The 12,124-nt window shown below is 51.6% G+C and overlaps 1 annotated feature.

The window, feature by feature from the left end:
- Positions 9,153-9,654: an enhancer, noted in NCBI's record as "NANOG hESC enhancer chr21:43388567-43389068 (GRCh37/hg19 assembly coordinates)". NCBI's record gives its function as "activates a minimal SCP1, AML or CMV promoter by ChIP-STARR-seq in naive H9 embryonic stem cells {active_cell/tissue: H9 hESC(naive)}" and the evidence as "EXISTENCE:reporter gene assay evidence [ECO:0000049][PMID:30033119]".

Below are 12,124 nucleotides of genomic sequence, written 5' to 3'. Positions count from 1 at the left end.
TCTTTCCTTTTGCCTATGATCCAGTGTGGCTCAGCTCAGCACTGGTCTTTAGTTAAAATGATGGGGTTTTTTGTTCATAATGGAAGTTTTGCATTAATTTTGATTTTTTCTAATATTACATTAAAATATTTATCTTGATTACTGAGTTTCCGGCATCCTCTTCCATTTTACACCCAGACAGGTACCTCACTCCCCTCACCCATCTCTGTTTGGAAGCGTCAGCTTCCTGGCAGCAGGGAGCCTGGGCAGGGTATCCCACTGCAGCCCGTTCCCTGGCCAGATGCCTGGCGACTCTTGGGCCAGTGCGTAAGGCAGTGTTCTTCAAATCCCTTGAGTGTGACTGAAAGAAAGTGAGGCAGAACTTTAAATACCCTGCGGCTCCCGCTATCCTGGAAGAATGCGGGGGCTTCTGGATGTGGCCATTTGTCATCCTTGGGTGGCAGGACACAAAGATGAAGCAGTAGCTGCCACAGTAACTCGGTGGCCTCTGAAGGTGGAGCTGACGGGAAAGGGCCCCAGGTTACCACAAAGGTACAGGCGGTGTCCAGCAGGTGTGGTGGCATCCCGTGGCAAACCTGGCTCTACATAAAGTCCCTAGGGGAGCTGTCGAGACACAAGTTGCCGTATTCATAATAGCCCCACAGTGCCAACCATCCAGTGCCCATCAACAGCAGTACAGAGGGATAGACAGGTGTGTTCACACAATGACTTCTGCTGGGCAGGGAGTGTGGATAAGCCACATGCTGTGTCCCACACCTAGTGAGCAAAAGACAGACACAGAAGAGTGTTTGCTGCATGATTCTGTTGTGTAAGGAACAAAAACAGGCAGAAACACATATGCCGTAAGGAGTCAATACATGGTTATCTTTGGTGGGTGCCAGGGGTCTCGACTGGAGGCAGTATAGGGGTCCTGGGTGCTGGTCACCTTCCCATTCCTGTTCTGGTTACACAGGTTTGACCCACTGGAGAGAACTCACTGAGCTGAACACATGATATACGCCCGTTTCTTTACATATATTATACTAAAATAAAATACCTTACAAGTAAATATAGGGTATTTGTGTGCCCAGCCTCATTGCGGACCAACCAGAATTTCTCAGGGTAAGCCCCAAACATGAGAAAATTTTGTTAACTCTTTGGATGTTTCCAATAAATTTTAATATACAGCCAAGATTGAGAACCGCTGATCAATCAAGGCCTGTTCTTAAACTTCCAAGTGGCCGGAACCCCCCGGGGAGCTTGCTACGGGGCAGTTGTGCTTTCTCAGGCCTGGCCGGGGCCCAGGAGTCTGCATTTCTAACAAGTGCCCAGGCCAAGCCCAGGCTGCTGGAAGCAGGCCCACACTGAGCAGCCGTGTTAAACGATTCATTGTCCTCCCCCCGGAGAGCCTGGGGGCTGCATTTTTAACCAACACCTTGGTTATTCTTGGTTAGGCAAATTTGAAAAACACTGATCAAGTTCCAAATGGCCTCATCAGATGGTGAGGAGTTCCATAACATTCACTGTGTTTCTTCAGATGAGAAAGTTGACTTTTCAGGGATTTCACAAACTGCTTTAAAAAAATAATAATTTTACGGCTGGGCGCGGTGGCTCACGCCTGTCATCCCAGCACTTTGGGAGGCCGAGGTGGGTGGATCACGAGGTCAGGAGATGGAGACCATCCTGGCTAACACAGTGAAACCCCATCTCTACTAAAAATACAAAGAATTAGCCAGGCATGGTGGCAGGCGCCTGTAATCCCAGCTACTCCGAGGCTGAGGCAGGAGAATGGCGTGAACCCGGGAAGCGGAGGTTGCAGTGAGCTGAGATCGTGGTACTGCACTCCAACCTGGGCGACAGAGTGAGACTCCGTCTCAGAAAAAAAAAAAAGAAAATAGAAAATAATAAAAATAATAATTTTTCAAAAATCAACAGGTGGAGGCCCAAGCACATGTTCCTAGCCGGGAGGTGGCCGAGAGCAGCAGGGCTTGGCAGGTGCTGCCCACACTGGCCTGAGAGAAGCAGAGGACAGGACCCTGGAGAGCGGCGGCTGGAGGAGTCCCAAGGGCAGCTGGGCCCCCATTGCCTCAGGAGGGCCCTGCAGGGCTCCAGGATGATGGAGACTTGTCCAAGATCCTAGGACCAGCTGGAGACGACCAGGACTATCCAGTGCCCAGCACGCAGCACATGTGTCTCCTCAGGGTCAGGAGCTTGGGGACAGCCGTCCTTGGAGCTCAGGGCTTCCATCCTCTATTCTGACTTTGCTCATAATCTCCTCACTAAAGACAGCGGTGCACAAGGTAAAATCAGTCTGCAGGGACCAGAGTGGGGCAGAGACTAGAGAACCGGGATGCCTTCAGATGCTGCTAGGGCCAGGCCTTTGGGCCCAGGTGGACCTGCATGAAATGCTGCCAGAGCTTGCAGGTGTGGCGAACTTTCCCACCACACACCCGACCTTCATCTAGAAGTCAGGTGAGTAGCGGAAAAGCATCCCCCAACCCCACGTCTCCTTGGGACAGGGGCTCTAATCACCCATCTCCTGGCCTCCAGTGACCCCAGGCTACCCTGCTCCTAGGAGGAGTTCTGGAAGAATATTTGATGGGCATGGTTAGGAATCTGCTGCCTGCAGAAAGCCCGTCGGCCCCATCAGCCCTGCCAGTGCTTGGGTGCCTAGATCTACCCGATTCACAACCCAACTTGACCAGGAGATCTCAGGCTGCATCCTCAACTTACCTTCACAGGACAAATCGTGACAGTTTGCTCCCTGGGTACTCATTACTTCACTCAGCTTATTCAACTTATCCAATATCTAACATCTCCAGCACCCAAGTGAGGAAGATGGGTGCTATTTACTGGGGCCCCATGCAGGGACCTTAATATAAGTTGCAAATGAAAGGGGAAAACATAAATATCCCAACTGTCTACAAGATGACTCCAGAAATTTCAGTCTGGTAATGTTGACAGTGATCTCTAAGAACATTCTAGACCTAATCATTAAGCAGATGGTTTGTAAAGATTTGGAAAACAGTGAAGACTCAAGGGAAGCAAGGATTCACTAAAATCACTCCCGGTGAACGTCTCTGGTTTCCTATCTCCATGGACACCTTAGATGGGGCAGCCCCAGGCAGAGCCCATCGCCCCCTCCCCTTTTCCCCCCACCCTGCATTTCCATGAAGCTTGTCACCCCTCACCCATGGATGAGACCTGGCAGCGTCTTCTGGCTCCTCCCCCTGCCTTACCCTCCCCAGTTCCCAGCAGGTGCTTTGAGTCCCTCCTCTCCTCTCTCATCGAAGACCCTTTCCCTTACAGAACTCTGCTGCCCTGCCCCAAGCCCGGTCAAAAGCATCTTCTGCAAAGTGCCCTAGGACAGGACTTCCCAAATTTTAATGTGCATTCAAAACCCTGGGCTCTTACGAAACTGCAGGGTTTGGTTCCACAGGTCCAGGGCGGGGCCTGACACTCTGCATTTCCAACACGCTCCCAGGTGGTGTGGAAGCTGCTGTCCTGGCCCACACACTGGAATAGCGAGGCTGTAGAGGACACACAAACTTGATGGCAGTTCTTCCTCGCTTGATCCCAGGGTGGGAGTTCCTCATCCCCTCTGAGGAAAACTGAATTCTCTCCAAGGTCACTTTGCACTTTGGCCAGGAAATGCCTTCAGTTCCAAACTCATCTCAACCAGGTCCAATCAAACACGCTGGATATCCGGGCAGATCTACCAGAAGAATAGGGCCCAGTCTCCATGGAGCCCGGCCTCCTCACATTTCCTGGCCTTTGAACTCACTGCTCCTGCGCTCTAGAGTGTCCCTCCCTCCCCCACTTCCTCTTCAAGACCCAGTTCAGCCTTCCCCTGACCTGCCCCAGGGGACCGGGCTGGCTTTCTTCTGTGCCACAGGCTCTGGGAAATGCCTCGTGGCCCTCACCACGTGGGTTGAGATGGTTCCTGGGTGCCTGGCTCCATCTCCCTACACTGTGAGCTCCCTGTGGCTGCCTTAGCTACCTTCCTCAAATAACAAGAGCTTGTGGCCTAGTGGTGAGTTCTGGGAAGTGATTCCAGGAACAGGTCCGGGCTGGGAGGAGGAAAACAGGGAAGAAGGGAACCCACACTGGATTACTAGGCTGTGGGCAGCTGGGATTCGCTGCCTCCTGCTGGGGACCCTGGAGACCCACAGAGAAGCCTCTGAGAAGGAAGATACAAGTGGCAAGTGTTTGTCCTTTGTCCTCCATCTCTTGTCACTCACTGGTCAAGGTTGGCCCCAGGGAATTAATGTTTCATCATTTCAAGATCTACCTGTCCCCCAGAATGGTGACGCCAGTCCCACGCAGGGGCAGTAGGGAAACCCGAGGCAAGAAGCAGGACATACGTGGGGCTGCGTAGGCACAGGGCTGCCAGGCCCCACCTGTGCACTGCCGGCTGCCAGAGCAGGGCTGAGGCAGAAAGGTAGGTCAGGAGGACACGAGGTGGGGCCTAAAGCCTCCAACAAGAGGCAAGGATTGCAGCTCTTCTCAGGTGTGGCCCAGAACGGACTGCACCTGCGCCCCGTGGCTGCTGGCTGCACTCCAAGGAATGCCAAATGAACGAAGGAATGAATGCATGAGCAAAAACCAACAGCCTCCTGTTCTTTGTGGATGCAGCTTCCAGACTGATAACCCAGGAAATGATCGTCGCTTTGCAAGCAGAGTCCTGATGCACTTGCGGGCGGATGAAGCCTCAGGCGGGAAGCGTTCAGCTCCGCACCTCCTGGCCCCCTAAAGACCCAGCCTCAAGAACAGGGCTGGGGACCACGTCCTTCTCAGCCAACTCTCTTCATCTTTCCCATGCCTCATCCAACGCCAGCGTCTGTTTCTTGACAAAGACTTTGAAATCATGCTGATGCTGATCAAAGTTGATCAAAGTGGACAGATAAAATAAAAGCTGGAAGACTATCAAGTATCTCGTGGGCAAGGCCTAAGTTAAAAAGAAAAAATAACTTAGTGGAGAAGAGGCTCTACTTCCAGAAAAGACTCTGCACAACGGCTTTACATGCAGCCTGGGAAGTTAGGGTCGGCCGGCTGAGACCCTGGGGTCCATCTGACCCTCAGCGTGTTCGGGCATGTGAAACACCTTCCCAGGTGCGTGAGAAACAACGTCTTGGCAGAGATGCAAGGGGCAGGCTGGCCTGGGGAACACGCTTGAACTGGGATGAGAAAGAGTAGGAATGCAGTAGGCCGGGAGTGACCAGATGCCCGTGACAAGCACAGAAAGGAGAGCAAACATGGACCAAAAGCAAAAGACGGAAATGTGAATACGCCAAATGAAAAACAAAATTAAACGTTGCTTTCTCGCATGTTTGATTTCGAAGAGCATTGTTGTGGCACTGTCTCCTAACCCCCGGCCCAATCCCACCATCTCCCTCTCCCAGGGCGACAAGAGAAGACTGAGCAGCAGGGTGCAGCCCCGGCTCGGCCGGTGATCCCTGAGGCTCTGGCACAATCTACAGAGCCAGAGGGTTCCTGGCACTCCCTTTATCAGCCAACATCTGGCTCTTACCTGAATTTTATTTTCTGTAATAATCCAGACACTTTGGTTTATCGGTCGTGCCCTTTTATAAGGAGCCTTATCAAAGTCAACCAAATATAAACCAGAACGACTAAAAATCCAAGAACTGGCTGGGCGCAGGGACTCACATCTGTAATCCCAACACTTTGGGAGGCTGAGGCGGGGGATCACTTGAGACCAGGAGTTCGAGACCGTCCTGTCCGTCATGGTGAAACTCCGTCTCTACTAAAAATACAAAAATTAGCTGGACATGGTGGCACACGCCTGTGATGCCAGCTACTCAGGAGACTGAGGCAGGAGAATCACTTGAATTCTGGAGGCAGAGGTTGCAGTGAGCCAAGATGGCATCATTGCACTCCGGCCTAGGCAACAGATCAAGACCCTGTTTCAAAAAAAATGAATAAAAATAAAAATCCAAGAGCTGATCAAAACCAGTCAGGAGCAGGCCCTTGGAACAGAACAGCTGTTGATCAAGAAGCATCTGGGGAAACTGCCTCATGGTTGCCCAATCACAGTAACCTTTCAGGTTAAACTGGAGAGACAAACTCCAACTAATATTAAAGGAAGAGTTTATTATACACTTTAAACTAAAGGGGCCTTGGTAAAACAACAGTCTTTTTTTTTTTTGAGACGTGGTCTCACTCTGTTGCCCAGGCTGGAGTGCCGTGGCACGACCTTGGCTCACTGCAAGCCCCGCCTCTCGGGTTCACGCCATTCTCCCGCCTCAGCCTCCCAAGTAGCTGGAACTACAGGCGCCCGCCACCACCCCCGGCTAATTTTTTGTATTTTTAGTAGAGATGGGGTTTCATCGTGTTAGCCAGGATGGTCTTGATCTCCTGACCCCGTGATCCACCCACCTCGGCCTCCCAAAGTGCTGGGATTACAGGCATGAGCCACCACACCTGGCCAAAATAACAGAGTCTTTTAAGACCAAAATATTCTTCACATAAATCGTCTTTATACTGGACCTCATTAAAAGCAGAAGGTATGTCATTCATATCAGCTCAGGGAAATTCTTTCCATGCAGCGCTGAAATAAGGTTTGGGTTTTTATTCCTCATCATCTAACGTCATGCAAGCGCAGAGACTGCTCAGAGGGCCTGGAAATGCCCTTTTCCCCCGTGTGTCCGTCTCTCGGATGCCTGATGTCCTCTGTGGGCCTCTGCCCCTGAGGTCTCACCGCATTCCTGGTGGAATTCATTGACTGGGGCCTAAGGAACCCCCATTCTGTGCTGCATTTGCTCCTGGGAAAATGCCAGCAAGCCCCTCCCCTGCCTGGGTAGCAGGCAGGCACTTCCTCCCAGCGGGGAGAGGGGAGCACTGGCTCCTGCTCCTCCTTGCAGGGCCTCGGGGAGACTTTTTGTGAACAGAAGCTGCTTTGGCCTGGGCGCCTCTGCACTGCGTTTCCAGCTAGAGGCGGCTGCAGCTCATCTCCTCTGTCTTGTTTGTCTCCATGGCCTCTACCCATGACCCTGACCGGGTTATCTCTGCTCCTTTTATCCAGCATGGAATAGAGCACAGCTTTCCCAAGCCCTTCTCTCCTGAACACAGCTCCCCCGAAGTCGGCTGACAGACCACCCAGCCCCAGTTTCTTGTGCATCACTGGGGGTCTCAGACTTCCTAGTCAGCACAGCAGCCTCAGAAGCCCCTGAGTGCAGTGCCATGGTACTCCCGGGAGGACGAGGGAGCCAGGGCTGCCGCTGGCTGGACAGGCCTCTGCCTGCATTAAAAAGACACCCCTTCCTCCAGGCAGATGCAGCCTTCCACCAGGAGGTACACTGGCCCCACTGCTCCTTCTGCCAGGTGTCCTTGTGCAGTGAACGGCCTGAGCAACTGAACACAAATGTGGTAGCAGTCATGAGAGCTAAGAGACTGCAGCCTCCAAGGCCACTACCACCATCTCTGTGTGGTGCAAAAAGGCATGAAGCAGGTGTCACGAGTGGGAGACCTACCCCACTAACTCCAAGAAAAGAAATGGGAGCAAGAAGAAAGAACAATTCCTCCTGTGGTACATCTAAGCCGAGGACAAAAGAATATCTAGAAACAGCTAACTATAGGCTGGCACCTTTATTCTAATCATTTTCCATCTTTATAGATTTAAAATAAATGTAATATGTGGAACTTTGCTTTTGATGTGTGTTATCCACACTCTAGCAAGATGAATGGCCTGAAACTGCCCTGATGAAGAGGCTTCCTACCTCCAGACACAGCAGTGCCATGACCCATGATTTTGAAGCCAAGATTGTATTTATTTTAAATAGAAGCATATTGAATTGGGGAACACATTCTAACATCCCAGCTCCAGGGGGTGGATGAATTCTGCACTGCAAACCTCTCGCCAGCGCTGATTTGCTGTTGTGTCCCCGCTCTGTGGAAGCCACTAGGAACGGTCATGAGGATGTTGACCCTGGCCCCCTCGGTGTGCTAGTGACTAGCAGCAGTTAGGGACAACCAGCTGTGTGTGTGTGTTTGTGTGTGTGTGGTATCACTGCACAGGCTGAGCCAGCCAATACCAGGGTAGCTGTGGGCATGCATGCATATTTACAGGCGTGATGTCAGCTTTGGTTCTGCTTGAATATTCCTGACAACTACACACTCTCCTTTCTGCCCTTCACAAAAGGGCTGTTACTCAGAGGCACTGGCCAGGAGACTGAAAGCAGCTTTTGTCCCACTAACCCCCTGCCCTGAGTAAGATGCAAGAGGAAGTTCATATTTTTCACCAACAGGGTGACTTTAGATTCTGGGACTCCAAACAAAATTGCACTTGAAAACTCGGCCGGGCGCGGGGGCTCATGTCTGTAATCCCAACACTTTGGGAGGCCGATGCGGGAGGATCACGAGGTCAGGAGATCGAGACCATCCTGGCTAACATGGTGAAACCCCGTCTCTACTAAAAATACAAAAAAAATTAGCCAGGTGTGGTGGCACATGCCTGTGGTCCCAGCTACTCAGGAGGCTGAGCCAGGAGAATGGCGTGAACCCAGGAGGCAGAGCTTGCAGTGAGCCGAGATCATGCCACTGCACTCCAGCCTGGGCGACACAGCGAGACTCCATCTCAAAAAAAAAAAGAAAAGAAAACCTGCTACTTGGTTTTTGTCATTTGCATTCATTCACTCATTCATTCATTCATTCACCCATTTATTCAATTATCTAACAACCATCTGTTGAGGCTACCCCATCTGACCAGTTCCCCATCCCATGCTGGGATATGAAGTGGAACAAGACAGTGAGGGAAGGAGACAGACCTGATCTTGGGGTGACCGTCTACTGTACACCGAGAGCAGATGGAAGTGACCTTGTGCCAGGCCCTGTGCTTGCACATGTGCTTATTAGTTATCTGGTTCTCACAGAGACTGTAAGAAGTGGGCAGTCTCATTCCTCCCATGTTACAGATGAGGAAACTGAGGGGCAGCAAGGCGAAATGATTTACCTAAAATCACAGCAGCCAGAATTTGACGCCAAACAGTCAGACCTGGAGTCAGGGGTGTTAATCCATGTGTGACACTTCCTGCTGAAGGAGATCATGTCTACGGTGCTCCATTTCCAAGACAAAGCGCCTTGAATCAGCTTAGGTCAGCAAACTACAGAAGAAACAGGATACACTAGGCCCCTGCTTGGATCGTCAACGCCTGCTTGTCTGCTGCCTCTGCCCTCAGTTGCTGTCACCCGAAGCAAAAAAGTTTAGTCTAAGACGAAAGTTTACTACCCTTCAAAATAGCTCACTTTGTCTGTTCTTACCAGCCTGCCCGGCTACTTCGGTCATAAATTAAATACTTGAAGAGCCCTTGAGCTAACTACGATTGCAATGCATTGTGGGCTGCAACAAAGTGCAGCAGTACAATCCTACAAAAAAAAAAAAAAAACACCTGAAGTCCCTGCCCAACAACCAATAGGCGACGTCTGGGAAGATTGTGACCCCCGGTGTGCTAATGACTAGCAGCAATGAGGAAGCAGGGGAGGGACCTGCACACCAGGGGATAAATTACTTGTTAAAACCGTGCTGGGTGTTTCTGCCCATCAGACACTTGATTTTGCAAGACCATCATTAAGAGTCTGACTCTCAGGCCCAATGGCACAGGCTCAGTGGCTCATGCCTGTAATCCCAGAACTTTGGGAGGCTGAGGCGGGCAGATCACCTGAGGTCAGGAGTTTGAGACCAGCCTGGCCAACAAGTTGAAACCCGTTTGTACTAAAAATACAAAAAAATTAGCAGGGTGTGGTGGTGCAGGCCCGTAATCCCAGCTTCTTGGGAGGCTGAGGCACGAGAATCACTTGAACTGGGGTGGCAGAGGTTGCAGTGAGCTGAGATCGTGCCATTGCACTCCAGCCTGGGCGACAGAGCAAGACTCCGTCTCAATTAAAAAAAAAAAAGTCTCACTCTCACTGTTCTCCAGGTCTCTGAGTCTGTTCTTTGGGCTTGGACAGGTGAGTTTATTTCTCACACTGCTAAGGGGTAACCGTGATCTGATTCTTGGAGGGAGGAGAGAGATTTTCAGGTGAGGAGGGAGAGGGATCTGCAGGCAGAAAATGGTAGGGGTGATGCCAACAGCTGGGCAGGTTGGGGTCTGAGGAGCCCTGCAGGAGGCTGGATGTGCCTGTGGAGGGTCAGGGGGGCAGGGATCAGAGGGATTATCTGAGAAAGGAAGCCTGGCATTGTTTTCCAGGCTGAGGGGCTTGAGCGCTTCCCTGTGGTCTCATGAAGCCTCAAAGCCAAGGAGTGAGTGGTTGCTTCTGCACCCCAGAAAGACACCCCGTCTCCACGGGAGGACTGATCCTGAGAGGGGAGGGGGCAGGGCAGCCCCAGCCCAGCACTGGAGGGCCTGGCTGCTGCATGGCCTGTGCCCACCTGGATTAGTAAGTACGTCTTGCAAACAGCAGCCCTAGATCCAACTTAACTTTGGTGCTAGAGCTACAAACCTCTAATTGAAATCAAGAGATGTTTCTGGAAAACCTGCAGATTTTTGAGGAGGAATTCAAAGGACCATAAGGCCTGGTCCTAATCCTGAAGGAACTGAGTCCAGCCGGGGCGATAGGCACACACATGAAATCTGAAATAGCAATCCAGGTCCCCATGACATTCCACAGGATAGAGGAGGTGTCTCTGGGCAGCACCTAAGGAGAGTTCAGGAAGCAGCAGGTGCAGGCTTGCAGGTCACTGCAGGCAGCCGGGTCAGCAGTGTCTTCAGCAGGATGAAGCCCAAGGGAAGGGAAACTGTGGCAAAGAGCACTGGCCAAGGATCTAGGGGACAGGTCTGGGGGATGGGGAATGGAAGGTGATTAAATGTGTATGTGGAGGGAACATAGGGGAGCCCAGTGCCAGAAATTATTCCTAAGTAGCCATGGGTGACACTTGCATGAGGTAGGCCCCGGAAACCTTACCTGCCCTCTCGCCTGTGTTGGGCACCATGCAGGAGCTTCACGCCTCCTGCTGTGGTCTTCCATCCTTTCCACAGCCTGGTGAGCTAGGCAGCTTCATGCCTGTCTTATTGATGGGGAAGATGAACACTAGGAGGGCGAGATAACATGTCCAAGGTCACACAGCTTGGAAGCCCCCCAGGGGGATCCACAGCCAGGTCTGTTCCAAAGTCCCGGCAGCTGGGCTGGCAGGTGGGTGCGGGGTGGTGTGGAGAAGCTTCCAGCTAGAGAGCCAGCAGATGGACCCAGTGGGGAAGAAGAAAGAAGATGCAGTTCGATCACAGAGAGAAGGCTGGTGGGATTTGGTTTCTGATTGGTCAGATGGGATGGGATCGAGGTTAGAGAAAAGGAGGCTGGTACAGAGATGATTCCTGGGTGTGTGTGTGAGAGGTGGTGATTCCAAGACCTGGATGGAGAAGTCAGAAGCAGGAATATCTTCGTTACTGAATAAACATTTAAAAGGGTATTTATACGTGGTCTCTCTAACACAGTAGATGCTCAGTCCAGATGAGCTGCATGAATGAATGAATGACTCTCTATACTCTCTTCACTTGTATGTAACAAAAAGAAGCATCACCAGCTAGGGGCGGATTCCTCTGTTCTCCTTTTGACTCATTTTTAATGTTTTTTAAACATTCGACAGTGGAGGGGGCCAGCTCACCATCCCAGATCAGCCTCCAGGGTCACCCCCTTCCTCCCATTATCTCCTGGGGCCATCTTGGTCAAGTGCAAATATGATCTCATCTCTTCTCTGCCAAGTCAGCCACTCCTTTCTTTTGCTGTAGGAACAAAACCCAAAGTTTGTTTTTGCTGCTTATTCATCGAAGTTAAATATGCTTGGCGTGAAGGTTGCACTTAGAGCAAAACAAATTCTTCCCTATTCTTGGCTCTGTGTAACGAAGCCATTATTCCTGTGCTGTATGGAGCACCTGCCGTGGGCCAGGCGCCATGTCTGTGCACATGTGTGACCTCCAACCCCATAGCGGCTCTTTGCAGCAGGACTGGCTCCCACCCTACAGTGGAGGAGGCAAAGCCCATGCCCTTCATGCTGCAACCATGTCCTCTCAGAGCCCTGAGCCCTGGAGGCAGGATGGGGGCAACCTGCATGCCAGGGAAGGCGCCCAACCTCCCCTCCTCACCCGGACAATCGCATGGTGGGCCCCCCTGGTTGACTTCACTGGTCTCTTCCCAT

The sequence above is a fragment of the Homo sapiens genome, chromosome 21, assembly GCF_000001405.40.
Source record: "Homo sapiens chromosome 21, GRCh38.p14 Primary Assembly".
NCBI classification, from domain to species: Eukaryota; Metazoa; Chordata; class Mammalia; order Primates; family Hominidae; genus Homo; species Homo sapiens.
Note: the sequence above shows the minus strand (reverse complement) of the source record. Positions and strands in the feature narration are given on the sequence as shown.